This window comes from Homo sapiens, chromosome 5, assembly GCF_000001405.40.
Source record: "Homo sapiens chromosome 5, GRCh38.p14 Primary Assembly".
NCBI lineage: Eukaryota > Metazoa > Chordata > Mammalia > Primates > Hominidae > Homo > Homo sapiens.
In genome coordinates, this window is record NC_000005.10 from 73,641,113 (window position 1) to 73,658,769 (window position 17,657).

At 41.0% G+C, this 17,657-nt stretch overlaps 1 protein-coding gene and 1 long non-coding RNA gene across 5 annotated transcripts in view; one reads left to right on the top strand and one right to left on the bottom strand.

Annotated features, from left to right (window-relative positions):
- Positions 1-17,657, top strand: part of ARHGEF28 (Rho guanine nucleotide exchange factor 28) — a 315,795-nt gene that overhangs the window by 14,917 nt on the left and 283,221 nt on the right. The window lies entirely within an intron of this gene.
- LOC107986423 (uncharacterized) lies at positions 1,386-7,136 on the bottom strand. Its single transcript, XR_001742743.2, has 3 exons — positions 7,064-7,136; positions 5,077-5,228; positions 1,386-1,641 (listed from the first exon to the last, which is right to left on the bottom strand). It is a non-coding gene; the product is annotated as an uncharacterized LOC107986423 (long non-coding RNA).

Consider the following 17,657-nt stretch of genomic DNA (forward strand, 5'->3'; position numbering starts at 1 on the left):
TTACATTCTTCCATTGTTTAGCTAGAGGATAAGACCACTTGAGAAACAGCATTGTTTAACCACAAATCCCTCTTTCAGGAAAAATGAGTTACCACCAAAGAGATTTGTGTAAGTACATCTGTCATATATTGGTTTAAATGGTTTGTAAATGCTTGCCTTCCTCTTCCATGAGGAAAGACAGTTTCAGGGTCCCCAAGCATTAGTCTCTTCTAATCCTTCAAACCTGGTGACTAAAAGACTGTCTTCTCCTGGATTAGTGGGCATAATGAAAAAATAATGGCAGGGGAAAGGCTTTTTTTTTTTTTTTTGGCTCATTTCATCTGTATTTGGAGTCATGTTCATTTATAACAATAACACTCTTAAAAAAATTAGTTGCTTCTCCATATCAGAAATGTTTAGGGCCTAAGTACACTGACTGTCTTGGAGTCTTGAGTTTTTGTTGCCTCATTGAGAAGGATATGGCTTTTTAATATATTTTTAAAAATTATCGCATCTGGATCTTGTCTTCTGGGGATGAGTGGTATTCCTACCACAGAAGACAGGGATCTCTCATAATTAGCAAAGCCTCTGAACATATTTGCGCAGTTGTATAAATGGAGCTTACGAGGTTTAGTCAACCATCTAAGCAGTCCCTGCAGCATTTGAGGGCTGCGTTATAGGGAGTATCTGGTGACATTTTCATCAGGTATGGAAAGATCACTTTGTATCATTTGGAGTTTGGAGTTTGATATTAATAATGAAGAGGATGATGGCCATTTATCGATTGCTTTTCCTTGTTAGGCACTGTGCTTGGAGCCTCATGCTACTACCTCGAATTCCTGCAACAATGTTACTATTCCTGCTTTGCAGATAAGGGAACTAAGGAGCTGAGAGGTTAAGCAACCTGCTGCGGGGTTTGTAGCCTGTTTATTGATCCCTAGTTTGTGGGGCTCTAAGCCCTTGCTCTCATCACTTTCCTTTGCAGCCTCTATAGAAGGCTTGGAGCGGGGGAATCCTGCTTGTCCGCCTGTGAAAAAGACCAGAAGAGGTTATGTTCCACTCAATCCACTCAACTGATCTGAAATTTTTCCTGCCTCTACATTTGCAGATTTGTCTTTATAGTGAAACTAAATGCCTTAATTGTTTATACTTGTCACCGTCTATGTTAGATATCTGTCTGTGTTTGGGGATCTGATTTGCATAGTTTGTCATCCTAAATATTTCCAGGTGTAAAACAGGGTTTTGTTTTTGTTTTTTTAACTTTCCCCCTAGAGTTAATTGGCTATTTGGTTGGTCAATTATGACTTCTCCAAGTTCATAGTTGTTTTTTAGAGGAAAAGCTTCAGACTAGACACAATAGTCTTGACTCAGAATTCTGACCTCTCGATACCTGTGCTCTGTTCCCAGTGTGTTTAATGCATTCCAGGAGTCTGTTTGCATTTTAAATGCATTGCATTTTGAACTGAGGGTGACTTCTCATTCGGTCACTCCCAAGGATTACCCTGATTTTTTTTTTTGTTCTGTTCTACCACACTGAGCTTGTTCTTTATCGGCCTTGATTCCGTCTTCTTGGTTCTTTTCATTTTCCAGTGGTATCCCAAGGACAGTGGGCACACTCCTCTGCTCTCACTCCCAGGGTACAGACAGTAAGGGGTGTATTATCTGCAAAGAATTTAAAAACACTTTAAGACTGATTTTAGTTAGTTGGTTTTTACTATCATCATGCTCTAATATCTGTTCATGTGGCTGCTCCCTGAAAAAAAATCTGTTGGTTTAAGTTCTAAACAATTGCTGCAGTCACTGTTACATTTTAATATCTATGTAAACTTCAAACTTGTACATTTTAATGACTTATCCTTTAATACATGTTGTATTCGACATGAAATTTATGTCCATGACAGCTCCCAGTTATATAGTTGGGTCCCACACATGCTATGAGTATTTGTTCTGAGAGTAAATTCACAAAGGTTTGGCATAGTTCAAATTCACATCATGAACAAGTGTTTGATTTCTATAGTATTATTTAACAGTACATTTAAATGGTAGGTTTGAAATAAGCAATGGTAACACGGTGATGTTAAAGACCAAAACAAAGCTTAGGTTACTTTAAATCTGTCATTCTGTGTGACCACTTGGAGTTTTTGTGTTTAAAATGTTAAGCAGTGAAACAGAATGAGAGCTGTGAGTTATAATATTTTAGTTTCATAAGTGAACATTTTATACTTCAAATAATTTATTGAATTTGAATATCTTTTAAACTGAAATTCAATTTCTAAAAACTGAAAAATGAATGAAGAAAAGAAAACATTACATAACTAGTGCAATTTAGTGGTTGCCTTCATTATATTTTTGGAAGACATTTAATAGTTTTATTTATATTTGCTTTATTTTTTTATTGGCACAATTATATATAGTATGCAGTTCAATAAAGTAAAAATTTGGGCTGGGCATGGTGGCTCACGCCTGTAATCCTAGCACTCTGAGAGGCCAAGGCAGGCGGATCGCTTGAACACAGGAGTTCGAGACCAGCTTGGGCAACATGGCAAAACTCCATCTTTACAAAAAATGCAAAAATCAACCCAGCGTGGTGGTGTGCACCTGTAGTCCCAGCTACTCAGGAGGCTGAGATGTGAGGATCGCTTGCACCCAGGAGGCCAAGGCTGCAGTGAGCTGAGATTGTGCCACTGCACTCCAGCCTGGGAAAAAGGGTGAGGCCCTGTCTCAAAAAAAAAAAAAAAAAATTCACTGCATTCCTTTTCTGGTCACGATTACCATGCATTTTATTTTGAGATTATCACTGGAAATATCTTTGTCATCTAGATGTGGGGAATGTTAAATGACCTGCCTATTTGAGCATCAGATGCACTAGGTGTGCCACTGCTAGGACCACTCAGTATGTAGCTCTTGTGTCTCCCATGATGTATTATCTGCACAGTTAGTGAGAGTCTGTCTTATAGACAGCATCAGATGCACTAGGTGTGCCACTGCTAGGACCACTCAGTATGTAGCTCTTGTGTCTCCCATGATGTATTATCTGCACAGTTAGTGAGAGTCTGTCTTATAGACAGCATCAGATGCACTAGGTGTGCCACTGCTAGGACCACTCAGTATGTAGCTCTTGTGTCTCCCATGATGTATTATCTGCACAGTTAGTGAGAGTCTGTCTTATAGACAAGCATTTAAACTAGCAGACCCTGAGTTAATTTCTGTGGAATTCTTCCTCACCTATGTTCACCTATATTTCAGATTTTACCATTTCTCTGGGTTATTGTGATGATTTCCTGGCTATAGTCTGTGTTTCCATGCTCTCGTCTACCTGTTTGCATCCACCTCTGCTCCCCCAGCACCATCCATACTCCACTCTGCTGTCAGCACGAAGTTTCTAAAATGCAAACCTGAGCATGTCCGTTTTCCACTTTCAGTCCCTCACTAGCCCTGATAATCTTCAGTCCTCATGACCCTTCAGGCTCTGGCTCCTGTATTCCTCTCTGGCCCTGCCTCCTGCCAAATAGATCTCCCAGGAGCTCCTTGAACATACACTGCTGCCTGATTTTCTGCCTTTGCATTTACTTTCCTTTTGCTTATCATTTATTTTTCTCTTGCCTGTCTCCTCCCTGCACAAACCTGGCTAGCTTCTGTTGCTAGTCATTAGAACCACCTGGAGAGGTCTTTGAATTACAAATCCCTGGGCACTGAGACCAGTTGAATTAGAATCTCTGGCAGGTGGGAGCTGGGAATCTGTATTAAACTCCACTGATACAGTTTATTTTTTGCTTAGGAAGATTTTCTATGGAAATCATGGTTAATTATTGCTATTGCTTTCCTTCTATCCATTAGTTTGCTTCTCTGTACAAGAAAGAGATTTTAGTAGTTTTGCGGAGTTTCTTCTGTGTAAGAAAATAAAATTTGTATATCTTTTTATAGTTTTTAGAGGGCTCCTATTAACATTTCATTCAATCCTCAACAATTCTGGGAGGTAGGAAGGTAGGTCAGATTTGATCGTTTTAAATATCTGGAAATTGGAGTTCAGAGAATTTAAGCAACTTGGTTAGGGTCATTTAAAAAAATCAAATTATTAAGTTGTTTGTTTGTTTGTTTGTTTGTTTTTAGAGATATGGTCTTACTATTTGCCTAGGCTGGTCTCATACTCCTGAGCTTAAGCAATCCTTCCACCTCTGTCTTTCTAGTAGCTGGGACTGCAGACGTGTACTGTATCTGGCTTCTCAGGGTCATATTTTTAAAAAGTATTTACATAATTAGGTTGTTAGGGTTTCCAATCACTGGCATTTTTCAAAATTCAGAAATGATGAAATTTCTTCTCAGATTGTTTCCTAAAAAATAGCCAAAATGAGTATGTAAGTTCTGAGAAAATACCATACTCTGATAGTTTAGAGTAATAAGAAATTACTCACTATGAATTTCCATCTCCCTTGACTAATTTTAATTTTGAATAAAACTTAAATGGGATTATATCTTGATATGTCTGACCCTTCCTCAGAAAACATGATACTGAACTAGAGAAAATGAAGTATTGTAAGCTAGTTGGGATGTGTTATTATTACTAACAAAATTAATGCAGAGGTTAAGAAAGAACCATTTTGAACAAAAGTTTTAAATTCTTGTAATAGCTTTAACTCTTTTATTCTCCATTTCCCCTAGAGGTCTTGTGCATTTCTATTTTCCCACTTTTTTTTTTCTGAGAGCCTGGAGAGTTTCAGCAGTGTCTTTAAATTCTTGTGATTTTGATTAATTTCCCCTCCTTTCCTTTCCCCCCTCCTCCCCTTCCTCTTGGTTTGGATGTCCATATCTGTGGTCAGTGGGTAACTACATAAATGCCCACTTGAAATCTACATCTTTGATATGATTCTGGTACCATACTTAAGCACTGGGTGAGGGGAATCTGTTAATGACATGATTTGGCACAAAGGCTGACATCTTAGGCCCAGTGTCTGAAACTGCACCCCACTTCCCTGCTGCACCAGAAATGGCTCCCCCTCCTGCCTTCCCTGCCCTGGATGTTGGCACTCTCTTCTAAGCCAGATACCCAAAAGTCTGTTTTTACATCTCCCTCTTCTTTATTCCCTGGGATGATTTTACCTGTTGCACAGGCTTTAATTCTGACACATCCTCTTCATGCTGTATTGCTGCAACGCAGACCCTGATTATATAGTGTCTGGATTGGTGCTATTCTCCTTGACTTCAATCTGGCCTCCTGAAAATCTGTCTTCACTGGTGCCAGCATGATCCATCTGAAAAGAGATTTGGCTGTTCCCTCCTTGAGTAGGATCCTCAGTACCTCCCTATTCCTACACAAAAAAAGTTCAAGGTTCTCCAGCCACCAATCAAGATTTTCTAGGATTTGACCTGCTTTTTTGCAGCATGTTCCTTGGTGTTCCCGCTCTCCATCTTTCTGTGCTCCCTGTCTCCAAGCTCATGCTCCTGTCTGAGAGCTCACTGTACACATCATGTGGGTCCTTGGCTTTCTGCCTTTGCTCTGTTGTCTCCTCTGCCCCAAACACTCTTCATCTTGCTTCTGGCCCTTCGGATCAATATAACCACTCTCTTTCCCCTGGCTGACATCTGTTCTTTAAGATCTCCTTAAAAGTATTTGCTCTTTAGGAATCTTTCTTTTCTACTCTCCTGGGTTAACTAGAATATAATTTAGGTTCCTTTAAAGAGATTTAAACAGAGGCTTAAATAAGATAGGAATGTGTCTCTTAAGTAAAAGTCTAAGCAGTACACCTACTCATCTGGAGAGTAGAGTGGCTCATCTATGAGGCTATCTAGAGACCATGTTCCTTCTATTTTCTTGCCCCGCCATCACTAGGACATTATGCTTATTGGTGTGGTGGCAGCTGGCTCACCACCACTTGTCTGCGTCTTGCCAGTAAGAACAGAGAAGGACATTGTGGTGGGCATACCCCTTCCTTTGAAGAGCCCAACTCAGACATTGTATATACAGGTTGAGCATGACTAATCTAAATATCCAAAATCTGAAATGCTCTACAATCTGAAACTTTTTGAGGGCTAACATAATGCCACAAGAGGAAAATTCCACACCTGACCTCAAGTGATGAGTTGTAGTCAAAATGCAGTCAAAATTTAATTTTATGTATAAAATTATTAAAAATATTGTGTACAATTACCTTTAGGCTATGCATATAAGACATATGTGAAATGTAAATTTTATATTTAGACTTAGGTCCTATCCCCAAGATATCTCATTATGTATTTGAAAATATTCCAAAAATCTGAAAAAATTCAAAATCTGAACCACTTCTTGTCCCAAGCATTTTGGATAAGGAATACTCAATCTGTGTTAGTCTCATTAGCCAAAACATCACATACTCACACCTAACTTCAGGGAATGCTGAGTGATGTAGTCTTTAGCTTAGCGCTGTCCAATATTAATACAATGTAAGCCACATAATTTAAAATTTTCAAGTAGTCATATTAAAAAGTCAAAAGTGGTAGGTGAAAGTAATCCAGTATTTTTAACCTACTATATCTAAAATATTGTTATTTCAATATGTAGGACTAGCCACATTTCAAGAGCTCAGTAGCCACATGTGGCAAGTGGCTACCATATTGGACAGAACAGCTTTAGCTGGTTAGCCAGGCACCCTGCTAAAGTTGAGGGAGCCTGCCATAAAATGAAGGGGAGAATTGATATTGAGGGTCAACCAGTAGTCTCTGTCATATCTTCTCTTAATTACTCTCTACTCCTACCTGTCCCAATTTGATCCTACTACTTGATGTTGCCCAGGACATGTGCATGTAATGATCTGTTTTAGTCTGGATCAAACATCTGAAAGGCAAAGATTGCATCATCTTTTCTTGAGATCTTTGCCTGTTAATCAGTACATTGATACATTTTAGTTGAGTGAATGATTGAATTAATTGAGTGAAGCTTTTATAAAATTGCTCAGCTATTTTTGTTATTCTTAGGCAAATGTTTTGACTCTTATCCATCAAAAGTTGTAATATTTTAAGAATAAAAGCAAGTATATAAAAAAGTTCTAATATTATTCTTGGGGGGATGGATTTACTTTGATTCTATTTAGTATACTTGCCATTAACTTACATTCAGAGATGCTTTTGGTTGACATTCACATTGGAATATAATGGCAGGTCTCTGTTTCCACAAATCATGTTTCAGAAAACAATATGTCCAGTGTCTGGGAAATCCATATTTTCCATGAAATATTGAATGTTGCTTCTGTGGAGGGTGTTTCTGTACTATAAAAGATCAAGATCGAGTTGTTTATGTGGAACCCTTATACTGTCAGTTCCTGTTCTGTCCTTTGGGAAATATGCCATTTCTAGGAAATATTATTATAAATCTATTAATGTCAGAAGACAGAGGCAGAGGATAATATTTTACATGTGAAACAGTATTACCAGAAGTCAACAAGTCAGCAAAACTTATCAATGATTTCTGGAATTAAATGAATCATGAATGCAGATTCTCATTAAATGAAATGGAGGGCTGAATGTTCCCTAAACAAGGTAAATTCTAGAAGTTACAGGCTGTTTCTGTCTCTCACATGCCTGGCCTTGCATCATTGCAGTCAGGTGGCTACAGGAATACCTTTCCTGGGCTGGCCCCTGAGATATCACAGCCCTTCTCTCAAGAATGAAGAGCAGTGAGGTGAGGGCTAAGAGGAAGGATAAATGAATAGGACTGCACCTCTTCCTCCTCCTCTTCATTAACAGCTTCCCACACCACTCATCCTGTCTCTCATTCTCCCTGCAAACAGAAACTTCACTTCTCCTTTCCATGAATGGTTCTCGGGATGAATTTCCTAGGTTGGCCAACCTCTGGGGAGTAATCTCACTTCAATCAGGCAGTGCCATCTTTCAGGAAAATAAGATTTATAGCAGTCACTGCCATCACCATGATAATGGTGTTATAATGTGTGTATGTGCCAGGTTCTTGCTAAGGTCTTTATGTGTGTTACTCATTTATCCTTACAACTGTCTTATGAAATAGGCATTATTATGTATGATCCCCATTGTATAGATAAAGACAGATTAAGTAGCTTGCCTAGAGTCATAAGCTGAGTTGCTAAACAGATTGACCTGCACATCTGAATCTAAATCTTGGCTTTTTGAACATTAGATGGTCCTGCCTCCTAAATGTCACTCATGTGGCTTTTGATATATTTATTTGTGGTGGAGGGTGAGTAGGAAAGAGGTGGGGAGTGGAAGGGGGACAGGAGCCCTGGAAGGAGCACCTGATCCAGAATTGAAAGAGTCTAGGAGGGTTTGGATGAGGCTTTTTGGGAAAAAGCATGCCTTGTTGGTAGAGCAAGGAGGAGCCAGAAATATCAGACTCATTTGTATTCTGAGTATTGGAAAAACTTTCATTGTGGCCCTTTTTAAGATGAAGAAGCTGTAGCCATAAGGTGGTTTGACTGTCTTGTTCTATCAATCACGAAATTGGAGCTCAGAGACATGAGATTACTTGCCCAGGGGCATGCTCCTAGTGAGTAAAGTGAGTTCTGTGTACTTGAACCTACTCTTTGGTTCCATATTAATTTTATTTAGTTATACTGTTTTACCCTTATTTGTTATTTCTGTTGTATGTTGCCACTTGTTACCAGTGGGAAAAGAGTCTAAAAAATATCAGAAGGGAGTGTGTGCTTGCTTCAGGAGGAATAGCAGGGTAATGGAGAAACTGGGACAGAAATCTGTTCCTCCATTGCCCAAGTAGCCAGAGAAAAGACGGGCTGGCACAGTGAGTGGTGGCAAAGAAAGGAGGCTGGTGGGCGAGCCCTTCGTCCCTCTGCAATAAAGTGGGGACAGACCATTAAGGGGAGACCCTCAGAGTCCCTCTTCCCACACTGTGGCAACCTGTGCCCAAGTCCTTTTTCTCACCTGATTGGGTGTCCTGGTTTCCATAGCTCTGTGTATGTGGGGAGAGGGAGAAGTGTAATCCCACTGCCAGGGTTGTGTCAGGAGAAAGTATGTTCTTGGAATTCTTAAACAGGAACCCTGATTCTCCTGGGAAACACGGCTAAACATGCTGCTTAGGACAGTACTCATGGGACAGGATATGAGTTAAAGTGGCTCATGTAAGCTGGTCTACTGTAGTGTGTATGCTTGTTTTAGAGCTGCAAGTAATCCACTTATAGGCATTGGAATCTGGCCCGTTCATCACCTGAGAGATGTTTTCTTTCTTTCTTTTTTTTTTTTTTTTTTTTTTTTTTAGACGGAGTCTCATTCTGTCACCCAGGCTGGAGTGCAATGGCATGGTCTCAGCTCACTGCAACTTCCGCCTCTTGGGTTCAAGTGATTCTCCCTCTTCAGCCTCCTGAGTAGCTGGGACTACAGGCGCATGCCACCACACCCAGCTAATTTTTGTATTTTTAGTAAAGATGAGGTTTCACTGTGTTGGCCAGGCTGGTCTTGAACACCTGATCTCGTGATCTGCCAGCCTCGGCCTCACAAAGTGCTGGGATTACAGGTGTGAGCCACCGCGCCCAGCTGAGAGATGTTTTCTAATGATGGAAATTACCTGTATACATAGGCTTCTTCTTCCTTCTTCTTAATTTTTTTTTTTGACAATGTCTCACCCTATCACCCAGGCTGTTGCCCAGGCTGGAGTACAGTGGTGCAATCTCGGCTCACTGCAACCTTTGCCTCCCGGGTTCAAGCGATCCTCCCACCTCAGCCTCCTAAGTAGCTGGGACCACAGGCATGTGCCACCATGCCCAGCTCGTTTTTTGTATTTTTGGTAGAGACAGGGTTTTGTCATGTTGTCAGGCTGGTCTTGAACTCCTGGCCTCAAGTGATCCACCCACCTCAGCCTCCCAAAGTTATAAATACCTTCTGATGTATCCAAAGAAAAAGCTTTTGTAAACGTGTCCCAACAACTAGTGCTTGGAGGAATTAATAGTAGAAACTCTGAGAGACCAAAGTACTTTCAAAAGACAAATGCTACAATTAGTTCTTAGACATTTAGGAAAATTAGAATGGGGGCTTGAACTGGGTAAGATTTCGTGAGAACTCAGCTCTGACCTGTTTACATATGTGGGGTTTTAACAGTCACTGGGTTTGGTTGAGCCTAAGAAGAAGGGAATGGAAAATGCTCTTGGAGGTGTGGTCCAGGTCATGAGCTCTGGAGTGAGATAGACTTGGGCTTACTTACCAGCTCGACTGTGTTTTAGCTGGTGACATTGGACCCCAGTCTGTTTTCTCATTCATAAAGTGGGAATAGTAACATTATTTATGGATTGTTGTGCAGAATACTTACACTATGTTGAAGCAACTCCAGATTTTCCAGATAGCAATAATGGAGGGAAAATCATTGCATTAGAAGATCTTGTTTTGAAACCAAACATGTTGTTTTACTTAGATTGATTATTTAGGGAAAGCTGGTAGAGATTGTGGGGAATGTTAATATGTCTCCCAAGCTATTCTTGTTGCTTTTACTTTGTGAAGTGCTAACATATAGGGCCTGGTGTGTAGAAAACCTGCAGTCAATGACAGCTTGTTGTTATTTCTTGTGAACACAATTGAGATCATCTAGTGTATACACTGAAAATCTTTTATTTTTCACTTTTTACATTACTAATTTTTTTATGTTATTAAATGCCCTTTAAAAATGATCATATTCAGTGACTATATATACAATTATCTGTTTCTGTATTATTCTCATTGTGGGACTTTTAGGCTATTTCCAACATTTTTCTTATAACTCGTGAAGTATATCTTTGTCTGAACTTATGGCTCAATTCTTGCAAGGGGAGAGGCAATTCTGTTTTAACTATGGTTGTCAATGGCAAGTCTGAGTCAGAATCTGATGCCACAACCATCCTAGGCCCAGCTACCATGCTCTGTTGTTTGTCATTGACCTGTTTGTTTCTCAGGCTTCGGAGACCTGTGAAGTTACCTCATTTTGGTTCCGTTGGGCCTCAAGTGCAGAGTAAGTGCTTGTTAAAGGTTTGTGGAGATAAATTGAGGATAAAAGTTTTGGGGTTGCAAAGAGGTTTGAGAACTGCCAGTCCATGTTCTCCTTCTCTATGTTGTAACTATTTTTAAGTGCTAGGGAATGGGGTATATAAAAGACAATATGATCTCTTCCCTCACGAAGCTTATTATCTAGTTGAGAAGGTCACACTAGTGGAAAGTAAATAATTAGAGAAGTTAGTCAAGTCATATAATGGCAACTAAAAGTCTGATGAGGAGTTTAGAACTAGCAGAAAATTCTTACTGCTATAGACTCATCAGAGAGGGCTTCATGGAGGAAGTGAAGTGAGGCAGGTTTTAGGATTTAGCTATTCATAGAGAGAGAGGGTCTGTGGGATTTTGGGCAGGAGCACCAGCATGAGCAAAGGAGCAGGAGTGGGAATGAGTGTGGGACATGAGAGGGCACGGTATGCACATTTGGGGGAGCAGAAGGAAATAGCATTAGGGGCTAGGCAGGGTGGGGCCACATTCAGGAGGGCTGGAAGCCAAACAGTTGAGAAGCATAATAAGAAATAAAGAGTCTTTGTAGGTTTATGAGTGACATGAGGAAAGTGGTTGAACTGGAAATTCAAAGGTGGTGTCAGAAATATTGCTCCGAAAAGGTCATTTATAAGTACACAGATATTTGGCAGTAATAATATGTTATACATCTGGAATCCTTTAAAGCTTCCACAGATCTCACTTAATCCTTGTATGTCCAGGAGTGGCCAATGATTATTATCCCCAATTTACAGATGGGGAAACTGAGCTTTCAAGTGGTTGAGTGACCTCTCAGTATCACACAGTTAGAAAACGGGCAGATGGAGGAACCCAAATCTCCTCATTCCTGGACCATTGGTTTTTCAGTGATGCCTCAGGGTGCAAGGGACACATCTTCCATTGTTAAGGGAACTACTTCTTGGAAAGAAAGATGCCGTCAGTGTGTAGTTAATGTGTATCAGGTACTTTACATACATTTGGCATCATCAGCCTAATGGTCTTGTAGCTGTTGGTCAATAGCTCTATTTTACAGATAAGGAAACTGAGGCTTAAGGAGGTTAAACAACTTGCCCAGCGCCACACATCCAGTTAGAGGCAGAGTGAGGGGCCCTGCTCCAAGTGTGCATGACTGTTTCTTGCCTTGGTTCTTCCCACACCTGACACTTGGGCACACTGCAGCTACTTCTACTTCTTGCTTTGCTCAGCGATGTGAGGGGTTGATTTTCAGGTTACATATACAAAATTAAATTATTTTGGAATGAGTTCAAAGCAAGTGTCTTGGCTGAATATTACACCGTATTTTATGGAGGTGTCTGTATATCGAGTATATTGAGTGAATATTAGTAATTTCAAGAAACTAATTAGGAAAAGCAGAAGTTTGATCTCTGGTAGGAGTTTGAGGATATATGCTTATGCTTCTTCTAAGGCTCTCTTAACTTCGGGATGGAGATTCCTGTCCTCAGTGCAGCATGCAAGGTGCCTAGTGAGGAGACCCTTGCTTATGTCTCTCGTCTCAGCTTCTGCCTCCTTGTGTCTTGCACATAGCTACATGGAAGGAATATCAACTCCTGCACAGAGTTTCACATGTTCTCTGTGCTCCATGCATGTGCTGGAAGGTGCTGAAATGTGCCTCCTCTCTATAGCCCCTATCTGTCCTTCCCTTTAGCCTAGCTAACTGTGTTCATCCATCAAAACTAAGCACAACATCCAGTCTCCTCTGGGCTTCCCCTACAGCTCCTTTCCAGCCCTTGGACCAGGTTTGGCATTCCTGCCCTCTGTTCCCCCCCGTCATGGCACTTCTACTCTGTGTTTTCCAGGAAGATAGCACAGAGGTGGAAGTGTATATGTGGTATGCAGGGATACTCAATCGGCCACCCTGGGTAGAATGAGTTTGCATAGAAAAGGTGTATGAAAGAAAGGGGCCTCAGTCATAGAGTGCTTCAGCCATTTTGGGTGCAAACAACATAAATAGACTTTTTGGTGTCTAAATATCACCCTAACTTCTCTCCTTAAGTTAGGGTGCTTAAGTTATTATCTGCTTAAGAGTGGACCCCTGCTTAAGCATCCTAGTCATGTACCAGCCCCTGGCTGCACTGGGGCAGGGAGAGGGACAATGAAATCCCATTGGCTTCTGTAAGGACAATGGGATCCTACTTCCTGTCAGTGCTATTCACAATGGGGGATTTCCCCAGAAGGGAGATCCAGGTGCTAGCAGAAAAAAGGGAAGGATGCCAGACAACCAGAACCCCATAAATGTCTGCTCTGGAGAAACCAGGAAGGAAGCATGGCCTGAGGCACTCGAGGGGCTCTCAACACCAGCCTCAAATGGCAGGTACAGGGAGAGGCCTTTCCTCTCTAGGAGCCACTGAGAGATTGGCAGTAGGGGAGTGGGCTAGGCACCCAGAGCAGCATTTTTAGAAGCTGAATCTTTAGTCGTGGGCCTCATGGCCTGGAGAGAGCTGGGGCTGAAAGTCTGAAAGTGGGGGGACCAGTCAGGAGATTAGTGTCTGTGTGCAGTAAACACGGAACCAGAAATCTGGAATTCACCATGAGTCATTAGCAGATGGGGATTAGAACTCATTGACCTTGGGGAAGTCATCAGACTTTTCTTGCCTCAGGTGAACACAGTGGCATAATTATGCTGGCCCACCCAGTGAAATGCTGCCAGAATGAACTCAGTCATCTCTTTCATCCAGATACAGATTCATCATGGTGTCAGGTTTAGCTCATTGCTTGTTTCTACCCCTTGTGTGTCTGATCATTTTCTAGTTACCACTCCTTTTTTTTCTGAAATGAAAAGTCAAGGCATGTGAAAACCTGACGTTCACAGTAATCTAAGCACATCCTTGCTCTGTCAGGGAGAGATTCTGCCTCCAGATGGTGCATTCATCTGGTCTTTGGCATGTTCTGAGCCAGGATTTAGACAAAATGAAAGGTTGTTTGAATACTAATGTAAAATCTCATTGGGCAAGGAAAACTGTCTATTTGGATTATGAATAGAATCTGTACAGTGGCCTATTCACTTCAATGTTAATTGTCACCATTTAGTGGAGCTGGACAGCATTTAGAAAATGAGGAATAACGCCTTCAACAAAGCTCTTTTCATGGACAGCTTTTACAATGTGCTCAATTCTATGGCTCTTGAACAAAAGTCCATATTTTCTCCTTGGGTTTGTCATGCTCTGAGCTTGCACAACAACTAGGAGTTTGGCCTAACTATGGTTCACAGGTCAACATGTTTAACCTTTATGTGGAGACTTACAAGAGTGACAGCTTCTTGGTAGTTTTTAATGATTTTTGACCTGTTTAATATTGTGTTTTATCTTGAGAAATTATTTCTACATATCCTTACATTGGAACTGTACTTCACAGAGACCTTTAACACATTATCTCCTTTTATCTGCATAGGCCCATGCAAGAGAACTCCTGGTATCTTAGTCTAATTTCCAGTGGGGTTTGTAAGAAGAGGGTTAAAATTGCTCTGTCCTTAACACTAAGAATAGAATTTCATTGTCCCTTTATTTGAGTAGCTCATAGTATTTTATACACACTAATTCATTAACCCTCAACAAAGTTCTGTGTGTAGGCAGTGGAAAATATTCTTTTCCCTGTGGCAGTATTTACACATTGAGAAACCAAGTCACGAGGCACAGCAGGGTTGGGCTGGTCCACAGGGAGCCAGGGGTAATTTGGGCCGCCCAGTTCTTAGTCTAGCCCTCTTCCTTGACCATTAGAAAACCTGAACATGTTTTTCTTTGGAAAATAATCATGATTTCCAAAGAAAATAGCCCTGAAGGCCAAATTCTACCCGGAGAACTGAACTGTAAAAGGGAAGAGTTTGGGGGCGGTTTTCTCACAAAATGGTTGATGTGGTTTCATTTTCTTATGTTGTCACTAAGTGTTTTGTCTGCTGTAGCCAGGAACCAGATGGTCAACATGGCAGTATGTTTTTGTTTCTAAGAACCAGTTTTTGAATGTCCCCATCTTGTTTTGCTGCTGATACCTTTCCAAGTGTCAGATGAGCAAGGCAGCACCTGCTGTTCCAGCTCAGGCTCTGCAATAGGTGCCGAAAAGCCTCCCTTCTTCCCTTCTCAGATTTCAACATCCTTAAGGGCGAGAATGGTCTCTAATCTTCCTCCTTTTTACCTCTTTTCTTGTTCCTACGTGTGCTTTGGCAAGAGAGTACCTCAGTAAAGGATTTGGTGGGCAGAATAAAGCCCAGATCTGTATATCTTGGTATCCAGGAGGCAGCTCGCCACATGTGGACACCTCAAACTTACTGAGTTACTGATTTCCATCCAAAACAGAATTCCTGGTTTCCTTTCCCAAATCTGTACCATCTGTGTCATTCCCTATCTCTGCTAGTGGCAATTTCATTATTTTCTCAGACGTCAAACTTGGGAGATTTTTGTCTCTCTTTCTTTCATATCCCACTGCCAAATTGTCAGGAAATCCTATTGGCTCTCCCTTCAGAATATAGCCAGTTACTTCTCACCAGCACTTTGCTACCCTCAAATCTCAGACACCATCATCTCTTCCCTAGATTATGGCAACTGCATCTAAGCACATCCTCCTGCATCTACCCTTGATCCCTCTTAGTCTGCCTGTGACTATTGTCAGAATGATCCTGTTTGTGTGTCTGTCAGATTATGTCACTCAGCTCAGAACCCTCAAATGGATCCTCTGCATACTCAGAAGAAAAGTCAACGTCCTTAGGAGGACCTACAAGGCCTTGCATAATAGATCCTTCATTTTCCTCTGTGTCTTCATCTTCTATTACTCTCCACTTCACTCTGCTGCAGACATACTGGCCTTCTTGCTGCTCCTATAAAAAGAATGTTGGAGGCTGGGCGCGGTGGCTCATGCCTGTAATCTTAGCACTTTGGGAGGCCGAGGTGGGTGGATCACGAGGTCAGGAGATGGAGACCATCCTGGCTAACATGGTGAAATCCTGTCTCTACTAAAAAATATATAAAAAATTAGCCAGGCATGGTGGCGGGCACGTGTAGTCCCAGCTACTTGGGAGTCTGAGGCAGGAGAAAGGGGAGAACCTGGGAGGCAGAGTTTGCAGTGAGCCGAGATTGCGCCACTGCTCTCTAGCCTGGGTGACAGAGCAAGACTCCGTCCCAAAAAAAAAAAAAAAAAAAAAAGAATGTTGGACTCTTCAATTGCATGTTTCATATTTCTTAGCATCTCTTTCCCATTTTTCACCTTCTCTAGCTCTGTGCTATATTCTGGGTAATTTCCAAGATTCAAATTCCAATATATTACTGACATTTTCACTTTTCTTCTTTGCTTTTTAACTTGTCCAGTGAAATTTCATACACGATACTTTTATTTTTAGGAGTTCTGTCTGGTTCTTTGTCAAGTTGGCCTGTTCCTTTCTGATGCTTTGAGTTATTTTTTAACATCTTTATTTAAACATAGTTATTTTACAAAATATTCGATCAGTCTATCATTTGAAGTTCTAAAGGGCCTGTTGTTTGTACTGTCTTTTTCATGATGGATAGTTTTGTCAAGTGTTTCATAATATTGAATGGTGAGCCTATGTCCAATGAAACTTTAACTGGGGGAGTCCTGTAATTGTGAGTTAACCCCAAATGCATTACCAGTATGGAACCATTTTATATGTTAATTTTTCAGTTAAAGGGCTCCAGGGAACCCTTCTTTCCTCACTCATCAAAGACTTAGGCTGAGACCAGAAACATTTCTTGTTTTTTCCTTTGGCTACTGGTCATATTTTTCTATTATCATTATTTGAATAAAGACATGGCCCTTTGGGGGTACTGCCTTATTTAGTTCTAACTCCTTACCACACATGGGCAAGATGTCTCCCCTTCCCTCAGTAGCCATTAAACCCAATCTTCTGGGCTGCTGAGACCATTAAAACACTTCAGGCAAAGATTCTTCGTAGGACATCACTCTGTTTTTCAATGAGTCTTTATTTTATGACTTTGGGAGTGCTCCCTTGCTTTCTTGGGAGAGCGCAACTATGCATTTAAGTAATTCTGAAACAGAGTCCATCCAATGCTTCAAGCAATAAGGTTCTCATGTTATTCAATCCATTATTTGGGTAGAAAGGAAGTCCTTTTTTTAAAAAAAAAAAAAACTCAATTAACAAATCTTTATCAAGTCCTTCTGCAAGCTCACCCTGCCCACTCCTGGCAGGATTAGTCCCTCTCCTGTCACCCCATTTCTTCTCTTTACTCTAATGTTCATTACCTGGCATTGGCTGTTTCGCCCTGTGCTTCTTCTGATAGACTAAGAATTCCTGATGGCAGAGACCTGTCTTACTCACCTTAGAATTTCCAGTGCCAAGCACAGGGTAGAAGGGGAGGGTAACACTGAAAAGGGAGGATTTGAACACACCAGAGAAGAAGGGACTATTGTAGGCACACAGTCCCTCAGCTATTAGGAATGAATGGGATTCGGCCACAAGAGGAAGGAGAAGAGATGGATGGAGGGAATAGATGCAGAGCCAGAAAGGAAGAGTTTCAAAGGCCTAACCTGTGACCAGTTGATGAAAAATGTTGATTTCAAAGTAGAGAGTGATATCTTCTGTTCAGAGTGAGGTGGGATCTTAAGGATGGAGGAAAACTGAAAGCACCACTGTGGTTCTTTTAAAAAAAATATTGCAGTTAGGTGTAACTGAATTGGCAGAACATAACCTGGTGTGAGCTCATGACAGAGAATTGTACAGTGGATTTAGTCTAGCATTGGTATTA